The following is a 16,065-nucleotide window of genomic DNA, read 5'->3' on the forward strand; positions in this document are numbered from 1 at the left end:
CCTCCACTGATCACACAGCTGGGAGACCGAAGGCTGTCATTTTCCAAGAAATAAGCAGAGGGTGGGGGTTGCTTAGATGAGATTTTCAGGAACTCAGATTTAGAAAATCTAAATTAAAAATCAAATTGGTCTCATTAGAGCATTTTTGAATATATGTCTCATGGCCAAAAGTAAGTCTTCAGAAACATTAAAACTGTGAAAAACAAACCTGTGAAAACCCAGCCTTTTCAGAGCTCTTTCTCAGAATAGCATGCTTTATATTGCTATTGGAATGAAAGAGCATCAATGTTCAGAGATTAAAATGTGTCTCAGTAAATGTGTTTCTAAAAACTTACGGGTAAATCAAAATTTGTTCATTCATATCTTTCCATTGATTTGCATGATCACTGCAACTTTTTCTTTTGAGTTGGCAATGCCTGCTAACATTTTTGTTTCAAATTTCTCTCAGCCCCTGTGTTCATGTAGTTAATAAACTATAAGACGTTTCCACTCATAGTGGCCTCAGCAACCTGTGTCCTGTCTTCTCAATGTGGCTGATTGGTACCATCTTCAGAGACCCCATCTGAGTGCTCCATTCTGCCCAACCTTCCAGTCTTTGAGGAGCAGGTAAACCCCTCACAGACAAACCAACAAAAATCAATCCTCATTCCTCTACTCATTTTCCATTTGCCACTTATCACACCTGACATTTTGCTTTTTAAAATCTTATTATTAAGAACTGGAGTCAAAGGAAAACTCTATCCCCTGCTGTCTTGACAGTCTTCAGTAATTTACTTAGGCTCCCTGAGCCCAGTTTTCACATCTATAAAATTATAAATAATAAAGCCTTCCTTTCGTCAGGTTATTATAAGGATCAAAGTTTAAAAGGAACAACATATATGAAACTGGTTTGCAGACTGTAAATATGACCACTGTACCTCCATCTGGCTTTCTTGAAGGCACCCACAACATTACATGTCTAAAAATGAAGTCATTATCTTCCCCCATCAACTGGGTCCTTTGCTGATTTCCTGTCTCAGTTGATAATGCCACCCATCTACTCTATTCATCCTTGGCTCCTCTTCTCCCTCCTATCTTCCCCATCCACTAGGCCAAGAAGTCTTGTAGATTCTAAGAAATATTTTGAAACTTGAATCACTTTTATGCATCGATAATGTCATTGCTTAAGTTATAGTCTTATCCTCTCTTGGCTAGATTATTGTCATAACTTGCCGAATACTTTTTGGGGGACAAAAGTGAAAGTAACTAACATATATCTGGTAATATCACTAATGCTCTTAATCATCCTATGAGAGATAGTTTCTCATTTTATAGATAAGTAAACTGGGGCTGCAAAAGGTTAAGCATCTTGCCCAAGTTGCACGTGCAAAGTGTATGTCACAGTTGGCTTTGAACTCAGGACTCCACTCTAAATTCATGCTCCTTTCGCTATGCCATGCTGCATCCAGAGAGTACACAGGGCTGTGGCTGCTGCCTCCTCATGAGCTCTGTAGATATTCAGTAGTTATATAAAAGTTTAGGATTACTTTAAATTGAATATTGAGCACCTTCTACCTATGATGATTACTCTACTCCAGGGCTTCTCAACCTTAGCACTATTAACATTTGGAGCTGGATAATTCTTTATTGTGGGTGCCACAGGGGTCATTATAGGAAGTTTCCTCAGTATCACTGGTAGCTATCCATTGAATGCCAATAGCAACCTCCCTACCTTTGTGATAGCCAGAAATATCTGTAGACATTGATAAATGTCCCTTGGGGAGATGAACCAAAACTGCCTCTGGTTTAGAACTACTGCCCTACTCCTAAGGTCTCCTGGTCCTTGTAGACTGTGCTTTTTAACCCACACCTAGAGATGAAGACTCAAGGGCTGCTATAGTCAGAATGTGTGTTCCCCAAAATTTATGCCTTGGAAACTTAATCCTCAATGTAACAGTATTGGGAGGTGTGCCCTTAGGAAAGTGATCGGGTTACAAAGGCTCACCCTCATGAATGGTATTAGACGCGCTTATAAAAGGGTCTGATGGAGGGAGCTCATCCTTTTTTTGCCTTTCTGCCTTCTTCCATATGAGGATGCAACCTTCAAGGTGCCATCTTGGAAGCAGAGACCAAACCTTCACCAGACGCCAACCTGCTAGCATCTTGGCCTTGGCCCTCCCAGCCTCTAGAACTGTAAGAAATAAATTTTGATTCTTTGTAAATTACTCAGTCTGCTGTATCCTGTTATAGCAGCACAAACAGGCTTAGACAAGGGCCAAAACTCCCTGTAGGCAGGGGTTTTACAAAGTCCAGTGTTTGTAGTGGTTTGTTGCTGGTCTCTTTGGTCCTGATATCTGCTTTGGACTTTCCTTCTAGCAAATTCTCTTCCTCATTCATTAGTTCAAATCATTTTGTCCTTGACTCAAAGACTTACTAGGGGACCCACATTGTTTTATAGTTTAGCTTAGTTGTACTACTCTTCTGGGATTGAAATATTTCATCTTGCTTTTCTCATCCTTCAGACATGAGTTGCGATGGTCAGTTTTGGCTGAGTATAGTCCCCAGTTATTCACTCAAATTCTATTCTAGGTGTTACCATGAAGGTATTTTGTAGATGTTAATTAAGTCCATACTTGTTAACTTGAAGTACGGGAGATTATTTTTGATAATCTGAGTGGGCCTGATTCAATCAGTTGGAAGGCGGTGAAAACAGAATTGAGGCTTCCCTGGAGAATAAATTCTGCCTGGGTACTGCAGGTTCAGCTTGTAGACATTCCAACTTCAAAACTTCTCTTCCTGACGGCCCGCCCTATAGATTGTGGTCTTGCTTCACCAATCTACATTGCCACATACACCAGCTCCTTGCAGTAAATCTCTTTTTTATTTTTATATTTATTTTAAGTTCTGCGGTACATGTGCAGGATGTACAGGTTTGTTACGTGGGTAAATGTGTGCCATAGTGCATGGTGCAGTAAATCTCTTTTTTTTTTTTTTTGATTTGGAGTTTAGCTATTGTCACCCAGGCTGGAGTGCAGTGGTGTGATCTCAACTCACTGCAACCTCTGCCTCCCAGGTTCAAGTGATTCTCGTGCCTCAGCCTCCTGAGTAGCCAGGATTACAGGTGCCTGCCACCATGCCCAGCAAATTTTTTAGTAGAGATGGAGTTTCACCACTTTGGCCAGGCTAGTCTCAAACTCCTGACCTCGGGTGATCCACTCGCCTTGGCCTCCCAAAGTGCTGGGATTACAGGCATGAGCCACTGTGCCTGGCCAGTAAATCTCTTAATACATATCTCCTACTGGCTTGTTTCTCTGGTTGAACCTGACTAATGTGTGAGTCTTGCCCATGAAGACCATGACCATGGTTAGGTCCCAGCTATTTGTATTTAGAACTCCCCTTCATTGCCATCCACCTGCCTCTGGCTCTTCACTTGCCCATGAAGGTGAGCCCCGAAGGACCTCTCTGACACCAATTACCTCCCTTCCTGGCTATGCCTCTTGTCATCTACCATGAGATTCCTTCTGATGTCTGCACACCTGTGGGATTGCCTTCTGGTGCCTACACTCTGAATCTGCCCAAGCTACCTCCTCTAAATGACAGGTCTGTCCATTCTCAAGTTTTTTTGCCCCCCCAATCGGCCTAGTCCCACCCAAAACGAGATCCAATTACCAATGCCACATGAATAAATAAAACAAGTTAATTAGAAGTTCCATAGAAAGAATAAAAGTAATAAAAATAATAGGTCATTCAATATATTTCACCCCTGGAAAGGGAGAAAGAACACAGGCAAAGAGGTGACAGTTTTTTGCTAATGTATTCCCACAACCATGGAGAACAGATATGCTATAATCTCATTGACATGCCATCGGGATTGTTCGTAATTTTCCATAAAGAATCACCTGTGCCACCTAGAACAGCAGTGCTCAACCTTTTTGGCACCAGGGACTGGTTTCATGGAAGACAATTTTCCACAGATGGAGGGTGGCAGGGGGATGATTGCAGGACGAAACTGTTGCACCTCCGATCATCAGGCATTAGATTCTCATAAGGAGCACTTGACCTTAGATCCCTCCCATGTGGAGTTCACGATAAGGTTCACACTCCTGTGAGAATCTAATGCCACGGCTAATCTGACAGGAGGCGGAGCTCAGGCCCTAATGCTCACTTGCTCTCAGCTCCCCTCCTGATATGCAGCCCAGTAGGTAGCAGGCTGGAGACCAGTACCATTTCCTGGCCCAGGGGTTGGGGACCCCTGATCTAGAAGTAACTGTGGTTCTCAAAATTTTTATCAACAAAAACAGTAACTGGAACAATATTGCCTTTTCAGTTTCCCAGCTTCTATGAGTAGTAATACTAAAAAAAAAAAAAATCCATTAATGAATGCAACTCTTTAATAAATTAGGTTTATATAAAGTACATTTCATGAAATGGGTTTCAGCTGGGTTGGAGTCTGTACACAGAAGATGAGTGGCCATCCAGAGCTGTGATACTTGGAAGTTGTCCAGGAGGGGTGTGAGGCATCTAGGGAAGAAGGCTTGGAGCAGCTCCTAACTCTGAGGCTCTGATATCCATACCCATGGCTGTGCTTTCCATATCAAATAGGGCAAAGTCTCCTCCGCTGTTCAAGTAATTTATTTCCTAGAACAATTCCGCTTTGTTTTTGGCTGACAGGGTAAAACAGATGAAAAAGAAATTTTATTTTTCTTAAATTATGAAACAAAAGACTCCAATAATTTGGGCTATTTTTATTTCAGTGTCTATTTTCACAGTAGATTAAGTACAAGAAACTTTTTCATATTTTCTTAGTTGCAATGATTAGTGATAATGGGCACGTTTAACTAGAAATTTTCTTTAAACACACACACACACACACACACACACACAGTAGTTTGGGATAAAAAGCCTTCACCCCTCAGCATCAGCTTTGATTGTACTGTTTTCTTTACACCATGTGCCGTGGCTCACAAAAGCATAGGTTAAATATTTGCAAGGAAAACATGCAATCCCATAGCGAAAGCACCACCGCTGTAAATATTTTCATGTTCTAATGGGGGCCTTGGGGTGTTGTTCTAGGAAACAATATCCCTTTCTTATGTGCTAGAGATAGAGAACAGGGGGTTGGGACCTTTACCCTCCCCCACACTGGTTTAGCTTTTTCTTGAATGCCAGTGGCAGCACATGTGGTTCAGAGGCTCATGTTTTTCCCTTATGTATTTTATATCATCGCCTTTTAAAAAATTCTTCCTTCTGTAGAGTTTTAGACCTCCTTCGACACAATCTAAATTTTAAAGGTGCTCAGATGTAAGTGTCTATGTTGACACTTTAAAGAAAAGTGGAATATAGACTGCCATGGTGTTATCTTTATTTCAATTTCCAGGTTGGGCAGTTCTGCCTGTTACTCAAGTGGAATATTCTCTGAGGAATTCCAGAGAGAGCCACTCCTGCCCACTATGGATGGCAGTGCCTAGAGCCCCAGTGCACCAAAGTCCCTGATAGCCACCTTCTCATTTTGCATGCTGGACTAACTGACTTCCCTCTGGTCTTTGCACACATTCTGTGCTTTCTTGCTTTGGTGGCTTTCCTCACCGCATCTCAGTCTGCTAGGATCCCCAGATTCCCCGCTCCTGGCCCTCTCGTCCAGGCATAGCTGAAGTGCCGCTTGCTCCAAAAAAGCCCTCCCAGATTCCACTGGAAGGAAACAATCTCTTCCCCCTTTGAATCCCCTTTGGTGTTTTGTCACAGTTCTCATCTTATATCCTGCGATATAATCCTTTGTCAATAATGAGACTCCTTGAAGACACAACTCCATCTTAATTATTCTTTAAAATTCCACAGCTCCTAGCAGAGGGCTTAGTGCTAGTGAACACAGAGTAAATATTTATAAGTCGAATGAATACATGCATTTGTGGAATATATGAACTTACCTGTTTGTAGCAGCCTTGCTGTATTTGCCAAGAAGTCTGCCTGAGCGGTATTTATACAGCTGCTGTACAGAGAGCTTAAATGAGGTAGCATGTTAAGATTAAAAATAATTTATAGAAAACGGCAATGAGAAGTCACTTTAATGAAATGCATCTCTTGAGGGTCTACTATGTGTAAATTACTCAGAAGATTTGAACCCCAAATGAATGAATAATAATAGTGACTCACACATGGCTAGCATTTTAGTTTCTGTTTAGGCTACTCTGCCATGCAAATTCTTTGGTTCTATTCATACTCAGTTAGACAGGATTAGTATCAACAGGAGAATGTTTGGAAGTACAAGGCAACAATAGATCACGTTTCTATCATTTAACTCGGTTGTTTTGGGTCGAAATGATTTTATATATCTCATACAGAAAATTATTTTGTTCACAATTATTCTATACATTGCATTATATAATGGGAGCTAAAGAACAAGAGAGCTTTTCTTTGGTAAATGAACAGGAGACTAGAGGAGGTGTATTATTTTTGAAACCACAAATGTCACTTCATCAGGTTTCTTTTTTCAGGTCTTTGATATCTTAGGAGATCTTTCTCCCTCCCTCACACCCCCCCACTTCTGGCTGCTCTCCAGAAATTGCTTGTCAGTAGAAATTTGCTCACACAGTGAGATAAAAACCCTAAGCAGATAAATGAACAGAGATAAATCACTTGCCAAGCTAAATGCTTTAATAGTGAGTTTATTACCTCTTGTTTCTTTTTGATACTTTAAAATCCTCAAACTTTGTAATGGAGACTGCATAATTGATTGGAGTTTTTGGTGAAGTATTTGCCGTAAGAGTCACAAAAGTGGGGGATGCTGTATTATAAGCTTTTAAAGGAAACAGACTTATTTAAGGAGAGAGTGTTATTTGTGTAATCCCTACATTTTTGTAATTTCAAAGCTCATATCTGTTGAACTAGCCCTTTACAAAAACTAAAATATAAATAAAAGCTTTATCTATCAAACTAGTCTATTCATTCTCCATATTGTTCAGAATGGTTATTTAGTATATTTTTTCACTTTTCCACTAATGCTGTAAGTTAGGAGATTCAGCTTTCTGTCTTAACTCCACTGCTTAACGTATGACAAGTATGTATGACACTTGCAGAATGTCCTTTGAGGACAAGGTAATAATGTTTTAAAATGAATTTCCAAATATAAGGCATCCACTATTGGCAATTTTGGAGGATATCTTTGCTAGCTCTTAGGAAGTTCTAGGTTTTCCAGGTTTAATTTTGGGCAAATAAAAGGGGAGCTGTACTAATTCTCCTACAAAATTGTAGAAAAAATATTACCCCAGATCCTATCTAAAATGAGTTATCCTATGATTATTAGCTTTAATTAAGAGTGGACATACAATCGTATGTGGCAATGAGAATACGATCTAAAAAAAAGGCGGAGGGAGAAAAAGAAAGATCTCAAAATGCAGGGAATGGATTAATTGAGACAGATGAGAAGCGATTAGCATTTTGTTTCTTGCAGGTGATATTCAGAGTACGAAGTCAAGCATGATAGCGGCTATCTGCAGAGTGCTAAATGCTTCCATTGGAAGGCATGAGTGAAAGCTGGTTATTGAATGAGACTTTTTGGTAACAGATTATTCAACAGTGATTACTTTCTTTAGCCAGAACTGGGATATGTGAGGAACCTCTGAATACATGAGTCTTCTTTTTTTCCAGGATAGACCTTAATTACCTGCGTTGCCTTCTAACACTGTGTCCCTCCACTTCCTATTCCCCTGCTTGTTGTTATTTTGGTCTCTCTCCTCCTCCTCTGTAAAGAGTTGTCATGAAAGAGCTACTGTGGAAGTATGTGAACCATTCATATTGAGATCCTCCTCCCATCCAAAAGAATGGTCTTTTTGAAGTAACTTCAAAACTATTCTATCAATCAGAAATTTGCTTTTTGAGTAGGAGTTACAAAGGCATCAAGAGGAAAATAAGGAAAATAGTCACTTAGATCTCTGTTTTGATTGGCTGAACCCCTTTAAATAATTTATATATGACTGTAATCACAATATTTCTTGCCTGATGAGCTTCTATACTTGAAGCAATGATGGGGGTAAAAACCAATACACTAAGTTGTTGATAGTAACCCCTGGGGAAAATATTTCTCTACTAAAGCATTCTTACTATAAGTATTGAAAATCTGGAAATGTAACAACAAATTGAAATTATGAAACCACTGAAGGAAACTATTGCTTGTAATCGTCGCTGCCTTTCTCACAGCTTGACTCGATGACAGCTTGATAGGTTTACTGCAGTTGGCATTGGATTGCTTTGGCTCACTAAATGGCAGCTATCTCATATGCCCTTGATTGTGCACAAATTAATCAAAGGCTTTTGAAGTGATGGCTTTTGTGTACAGGGAAAACAACATCATTTTAAAAATTGGTGCATCCTAAAAAGATACAGATATATGAAGACACTTACAGTTCCTGCTGAACATGCTGCTCAGTCTTACAAAGGACTTGCAACTGGGAATTTTTCATATTTTTCTAATAATATAATCTATATATTTTTTGAGATGGAGTCTCACTCTGCCACTCAGGCTGGAGTGCAGTGGTGCAGTCACAACTCACTGCAGCCTCCACCTCTTGGGTTCAAATGGTCCTCCCACCTCAGCCTCCCAGGTAGCTGAAACTACAGGTGTGCACCACCACACCTGGCTAATTTTTTTTTTTTTTTAAGAGATGGGTTTTTCTATGTCACCCAGGCTGGCCTCCAACTCCTGGCCTCAAGCAATCCACCTGCCTCGGCCTCCCAAATTGTTGGGATTATAGGCTTGAGTCACTGCACCCGACCAACATAATCTATTAAGAGTGCTAGAAGTATGCTGGTCCAATATGCATATTGTAAGACAGTTCTCTCAGCAAACATTTTTTGGTAGTGATATAGCACTATGTAGAATAACAATTTCACAATCTCAACTGTCCACGTCTAAAACCAGAAAAGTATATATACTTAAATGTCATATTCTTCCCATTTTATATGACATGAAGGGGAAAGGTGAAAAATGGCTAAATCATAACAACATGAGTTGCTGATCAGGCAAGACTTAATATTCAAAGCACCTACAACAATGGAAAAAAATCAAAATTAAGGAAAAATGATCTTCTAATTCACCAGACTCAATATTCAAAGCACCTACAACAATGGAAAAAAAATCAAAATTAAGGAAAAATGATCTTCTAATTCACCAGACTCTATATTCTACTCGGTGTCCTAGCCATGTCCTGGTGGAAAGTAGATTGCTTAGGGAAGCACATTAAGTATTTCCGGCCACCAGGTTACAATGCGTTAAGACCACCGGGCACTCACTGACATTTGAGGACAGACTCAGTCACTGCGCACATCAAGTCCATGTCATTGATAGTTGTGTGAAGTTATGGGCTACCTGTCGCATTTTTAATTCAGTTCTCAGAAATGATAGCAGTGGCCCTACTAGAAAGTGTTCCCAGGTGTCATTAGCATAAGCAACTACAGTAGTCCTACTGGCACTAAAAACTATTTTTAAAAGATTCAGGCTGGACGCGGTGGCTCACGCCGATAATCCCAGCACTTTGGGAGGCCAAGGCAGATGGATCATGAGGTCAAGAGACCAAGACCATCCTGGACAACATGGTGAAACCCCATCTCTACTAAAAATACAAAAATTGGCTGGTTGTGTTGGCGTGAGCCTGTACTCCCAGCTACTCCAGAGGCTGAGGCAGGAGAATCACTTGAACCCGGGAGGTGGAGGTTGCAGTGAGCCGAGATCACACCATTGCACTTCAGCCTGGGTGATAGAGTGAGACTCCATCTCAAAAAAAAAAAAAAAAAAAAAAAAAACAGAGAATAGTTGACATTAATATTTTTTCTCTAAAACTAGTAAGAGAAAACTAAATCAGGTCTTTCCCACCATTTTATTGGTATAGAAATAGAAGTACAGGGATTTGGAAGGTATTCCAAATTGTAGTCCCACTGAAGGAGATTAGGAAAGGCATTATTAATTTGGAATTTGGATATTTGGTAAACTTCAGAAAGGAAATTAATTTCACAAATGTAATGCCAGATTCTATTGACAGTAAAATACCCTCAATCACAAAACACAGTTAACATAAGTGTACTCAAAAGAACAAAAAGATTCAATTTGTAAATATTCCTATTTTTTACATAAAATGTGGTGAACATATGCCTTAGAACTGGATGAATATGGTGATTTGGAGATTCAAGACCAAAACTGTTTATTTAGAAATGGCTTAAACAGACTCAATGAAAAAACCAATTCCTCCTTAAAGTCCTTCTGTCTTCTTCACTCCCGCTTTTTGATATCTGCATCGTCACATTTCTTATGGGGGACTCTCCAGAGTATATTCTAATAGTGACCCCAAAACCTAGCGCAGGACCAACACTTGCCAACTCGTGCATGTTTTAAAGAGACCCATGCAAGAAAAACAATGAACTTAATAGAACGTGAATCTTTTTTTTATGTAAACATCCAGCACAAATTTGTTAGTAGTGGGTTTATTTTGTAAATAACTATAAAAGCATTCCAGTTACATATATTTATTCCTATGAAGCCATAACTTGTAATAAAATTTCCATAAGAATGATGTGTATTCACAGTGGATTACTAAGTTAACCTTGAAATGAATAGTTATCTGTAATTATTTGATAACTAAAAAAAAATAAGCCGGAGAAAAAGTGGCCACTAGTTATTTAACAAAGAAAAACAATTGTTAGATGTTGGTAGCACTATCAATGATAAGTGTTAATTTTCTGGTCATCAGTAGTAAAACTATTAAGGTAACATAATTAAAAGGTGTGACGGGATCAGGATGTAATTTATTTGTCTCACAAAGTTTCTGGATTGACAGCTCCACTTGTTACAGATCCAGGCGTGAAAGCATTTCTTTCCCATCTCATGTCAGTCAATCTCTAGATAAATTTGAATCCCTACTAAGCACCAGGGCCAGGGCCTATCTTCTGAGGCCATCAGCAAAGTGGCTATTAGGATTTCTCATTACTACATTCCCAGAGGGGTTTAAAAGAGGAAAAAAGGCAACCAGCGTTTTGTTGATTATTACTGTAAAGCAGCGAATCTTAACCCTAGCTACACATTAGAATCACCCAGGGAGTTTTTGAAAAATACAGCTGCCTAGGCCACCCCCAGAGGTTTGGATTTAATTGGTATGGGGTGAGATCCCGGCAAAGGTATTCTTTAAAAGCTCCCCAGACGATTTTAATGTGCAACCAGGGTTAAGAGCCACTGCTCTAAAGGGAAGATAAAATTTGCAAATTCTGTTGTTCGTCCCCACTGAAAGTGGAAAATTTTAGCCTTTCTTAGATATTCCTCTTCTTTCCCAGGAAAGAAGTGTGGTGTTGCAGAAATGGCAAGAATTCAGAACCAGGAGGCTATGCTCTGATTTCATCTCTGTCATTTCCTAGCTGGGTGACACCAGACAGGGAGTCCTATAAAGCAGGAGTCGCAATAATTCCTCTTTTCCCTACCTTCCAAGGGGCAGAATTCAACAAAACAAACAAGGTCATGTACAGGAAAGCCCTGAAATGGGAAAGCTGTTGTTAGTCTCCCAACTGATTGTGTCTGTTAGCGCTAATTGGTAACACCTATCGATTAGTGCTAACAGATGGTGGGAGACAGGGGTAACTCTTTAAGATCCGTATTGGTGATTCGTGAAATATAATATACTTTGTAAGATTTTTCCCTCTCCCTGTTAATTCAAGGCACATCTATTTGCAAAGAAGAAACAAACTATGTAGAGTTCAGGTTCACCTCTGTTCTTATCTGCAAACAGTCGTGAGCAGTCGGCAGAGCCAGAAGCCAGCGTGGCTCCGTGTACCACCGGAGGAGCCTAAAAGTAGCTCACACAAAAGATTTGCATACACCAGCACAGCGCTTTTCTGCTAAAATGCCCACTTAGCACATGCAACAAATTCTTTGTTGATGTGCCCTCCTCTACAAAGAATAATCCAGTTCAAGCAATGTCTTCTGAAGCTCTTGCCTCCCTGACAGTCACGATTTGCAAACAGACTATCATTTCAATCATTGGTTCTTCGGTGAGACTGAGTGGGTGACCCACAGCTCACCAGGTTCCACGGCTGAGGGAGGAACCCTGTGGCAGATGCTTCACCCCAGGTATGAGGCAGTCGGAACCAGGTAAGGAGAGCAGGACGATGCCTACCAAGCAACAGTCTTTTATAGACAGAGCAGCTGTGAGAGTCATTGTTGCAAAGTACTGACAGGCTGTTTTCATGTTGATCATTTTCAAGTATGAAAACAAAACAAGAGAGGCCAAGACAGGGCTTGTGACTGGAACAGTAGTGGGAACCAATTCATTAAAAAAAATGATCTCTTCCTCTTCCTTCTCAGTAAGGGATATCATCTTCCGTATTCATGTCCCCAGCCTGGCTTCCAGAAAGAGAGTTCTGCCTGCTTGGAAACTGGTTTCTAGGAACTGAGGTTTCTTCCTTGACCCTTTTTGAGCGAGGAGAAAAGGCAGAGCTGTTTTCTCTGACTAAACCAAACTTCCATAGTATCCTGATGAATGCCCTGGCTCCAGGAGGGGAAGCTGAAGCCAAGCTGCCCCTGCCACGTGTGGGCTTTGAGGTGCTCCTTCCCTTACTGCCAAGGTTGCCGTCTCCTCTGCCGCCCCTGACTGCGGCACCATCCTGGTGAATGGACTCTCTGATGGCCCAGGCCAAAGGCTTCCACACCAAAAAGCCCCTTTGCTTTTCTCTGGGGTTTGGAGGATGCCAAATAATATTCCTTCTTCTTTCTTTCAATACTAGTGGCATTTGTACAGTGCTTTACTGTTTACAAAGCCCACTATTTGCATAAATCTTCAAAATATCCCAATGAAGTAGCCATTATGATTCTATTCGATCAATGCTGAGATTAAGGCTCAAAGAGTTCATGTTTCTTGCCCAGGATTACACACTGTAAATGACAAAACAACACTTGAACCCAGGATTTCTTTTTTTCTTCTTTTTTTTCTTTTTTTATAAGATGGGGTCTCACTCTGTTGCCCAGGCACTGAGAAAGTGCAGTGGCACCATCTCAGCTCACTGCAACCTCCACCTTGCAGGTTCAAGTGATTCTCCTGCCTCAGCCTCCTGAGTAGCTGGGATTACAGGTGTGTGCCACCACACCCGGCTAATTTTTTGTATTTTTAATAGAGATGGGGTTTCACCATGTTGGCCAGGCTGGTCTTGAACTCCTGACCTCAAGTGTTCCACTCATCTCGGCCTCCCAAAGTGCTGGGATTACAGGAGTGAGCCACTGCACCCATCCCCAGGATTTCTAATTCTAAGTTCCATTGTCCTCCCATGATACCACCCTGTCTGTCAGGGACCCCCTCTGGTGACACACTTGCTACCCTGTGTGCATTGAGGTGCCGTCACCACCCCAGCCAAGGTGACATGGACCCGTTGCACTGCTCTCATTCATCTCACAGACATAGGGGAGACAGTACTTTAAATCACACGCACACAGGCCTTCTCTTAAACAGGGTCTTTGAATTCATGTGGTGACTTTTTGCTTCACCTTAAATTGTTCACTAAAATTAGATCACGAAAGAGTGAATTATTTCTGTCTTTACATCTGACACTATCACTGTTAACAAACAGCCACACTGGATGCTTCTCAGTTATATTCAGAACTTCTGAAATGTTCCTGTTTTCTAGATTTTACAGTGTTTCAGGAAGTGCAGCAACTATAATGATGTTTCTGTCTAAAATGTTGTATTTGCTAGGTGCTGATACCTGGATAGGAATAAAGAGATATATTGATGGGGCTAAATATGTGTTAAAGGGGATGACCTGCTGTTGACTTCAGACAGTTCATTGGTAAAATTGCAATAGTTTGGGGTTTGGTCCTGAACTTCATATGTGTAGAAACTCAATGTAGTCAATCGGCCTAAAGTTGATCAGGTTTAGGAGAACGAACTCACTCTACACAGATGCTCATAATATTGATTGGTAAATGAAAAGGACAGTCTCACTCAACAAATGATTCTTGCCTAGATGCTGCCCAATAGGCTCCAGGCGAGGTAGGGAGGAAAGTGTAGCAGATGCTGCTGAACCGCTCTATCCCATCCCCTTCCCATTCAGTCCTCCCATGTCCCAGTGCCAGCCCCTACATTGCCCACCCCACAGGAGCAAGCCTCCAGCAGTGCTGATGGGAGTGGGAGATGACTAACTCTCAGGTTCTGCACCAGCCCCTGAGTTTCCCCAGAGTGAGGAAGCTCAGTCCCCATGGTGGGAGCTGGTTTGGTTATTTGCCTGCTCATGGTTACGTTCTCTCCTTTAGCTCACGTCCCCACTTACCTACCAGCAGTTCCTTCACCTTCCAAATTAAGTACTTGCTCTTGAGTCATGGTCTCGAGGTGTGCTTCTGGGGTCCCTGGAGACCAAGGCACAGTGCTGTCCTTCAAGGATCTAGCAGGAGAGAGAAAAGCACACTAGTAATTCAGACACTGGGTGACAAGTTCTCCACCCAGTGGAAGCAGAGGATGTGATGGAAAAATGTGGAAGAGCACCTGAGTCTTCATAGAAAGCTTTCTGTGTGAGCTTTTCAAGAGTGCTACGTTTAGGTGGAGGGAATTTTCACTGTAGATATTTTCTACAAGAATTGTTGCATCCTGCTTGCTGCTGCTGCTTTTTTTGTTTTTTTGTTTGTTTGTTTGTTTTTGAGCAGAGTCTTGCTCTGTCACCCAGGCTGGAGTGCAATGGCACAATCTCTGCTCACTGCCACCTCCCCATCCCGGGTTCAAGTGATTCTCCTGCCTCAGCCTCCCAAGTAGCTTGGGATTACAGGTATGTGCCATCATGCCCAGCTAATTTTTTTAGTATTTTTAGTAGAGATGGGGTTTCACCATGTTGGTCAGGCTGGTCTCAAATTCCTGACCTCAGGCGATCCACCCACTTCAGCCTCCCAAGGTGCTGAGAGTACAGGCATAAGCCACTGTGCCCTGCCCCAGCTTGCTTCTTCTGCTCGGTCTCTCTAGCCTCAGTTTTCTCACCTGTAAACTAGGGGAAATAACATCCCTCAGAGTAAAGAGACAAAGATTGGGTTATATTATGTTATATAAATTGCCTTGCTGTGTGCCTGCCACACAGTAACACCTAACACTGTTTAATTAGTTTGCCCTTCCCAGATGGACTGAAATCTTTAACCACTTGATAGTCCTGGAGAGTCTCCTGTCCAGCTTGATCCCGTCACCAAGTTTCCTGAGTGTAGGTCGCTCCTGTAATGTTAAGCTTATCTACGCTGACTGAAGTTTTTACTATTTTCAGTTTCAGAATGACTCTTCCCTAACTGTGTGCCTAAATTCTGGGGGACTTTTTCCTACAACTTCTCATACACATAGGTAGCATTTCAATTAGACACCGGCCTCATCAAAGTAAAAATAATCTTATCATCTTAAAAATCTTTCTCTCTTTCCAACCCCCAAAAAACTGGTTTTTCATAATTCATGACAATGTTTGTCTAATTTAATATAATTGACACAGACAAATAATCAATTTTTCATTTTGTATATTGTTTAAAAATAGATTTACTATGACTTACAGATAATTCTTTAATTCTTATCCTTCACTTCCCACAAATATTAAGATTTTATGATCAAATTTTGTACTTTTTGGGCTTACATTTAAAGATTGCAAAAAATTTTGTTTTTGGTAATCTCTTGATTAGCAGTGTCTCTTTTGAGGTGAGTTTGTCATCTGCATGTATTATTCTAATAAGTCCACCTTTGAGAGTCATGGAGTTCTTATTTCTCCAGTTTTATTTCGGCTACAGAAGTTAGAAAAGCCAAATGGTTTATTATTTAATATTGTTGCTATCAGATGTTTAACCCTGAAAGCATTAACCTATCATTTTAATTAACATTGCCTATGTGCCAAAAAAAAAAAAACCTGATTTTTTAGAGTTATAAAAGACTGGACATAAGGGAATTTTATGTGTACTGTAAAAAATTAAAATAAGCTATCTAGTCTTTTTAAAAGATCACTGACCTTAATTTTCACATTTTGAAAAAAACTAGGAATGTTACAAAAATCTGATTTCAGAAACATCAATCACAGGACACTAGCTAACAAAGAACAAAGCTTTGTAGAGAA

The 16,065-nt window shown here is 40.7% G+C and overlaps 1 protein-coding gene and 1 long non-coding RNA gene across 8 annotated transcripts in view, besides 1 other annotated feature; one reads left to right on the forward strand and one right to left on the reverse strand.

Annotated features, from left to right (window-relative positions):
* The window catches only part of TENM3 (teneurin transmembrane protein 3), a 1,355,412-nt gene that overhangs the window by 368,040 nt on the left and 971,307 nt on the right, over positions 1 to 16,065 (forward strand). The window lies entirely within an intron of this gene.
* TENM3-AS2 (TENM3 antisense transcript 2) lies at positions 4,353 to 14,321 on the reverse strand. The gene is made up of 3 exons (NR_147188.1): positions 14,272 to 14,321; positions 5,904 to 5,977; positions 4,353 to 4,643 (listed from the first exon to the last, which is right to left on the reverse strand). It is a non-coding gene; the product is annotated as a TENM3 antisense transcript 2 (long non-coding RNA).
* Positions 15,010 to 15,169: an enhancer, noted in NCBI's record as "active region_22173". NCBI's record gives its function as "activates an Ori minimal core promoter by ATAC-STARR-seq in GM12878 lymphoblastoid cells {active_cell/tissue: GM12878}" and the evidence as "EXISTENCE:reporter gene assay evidence [ECO:0000049][PMID:35858748]".

Source organism: Homo sapiens, chromosome 4 (assembly GCF_000001405.40).
Source record: "Homo sapiens chromosome 4, GRCh38.p14 Primary Assembly".
Lineage (NCBI taxonomy): Eukaryota > Metazoa > Chordata > Mammalia > Primates > Hominidae > Homo > Homo sapiens.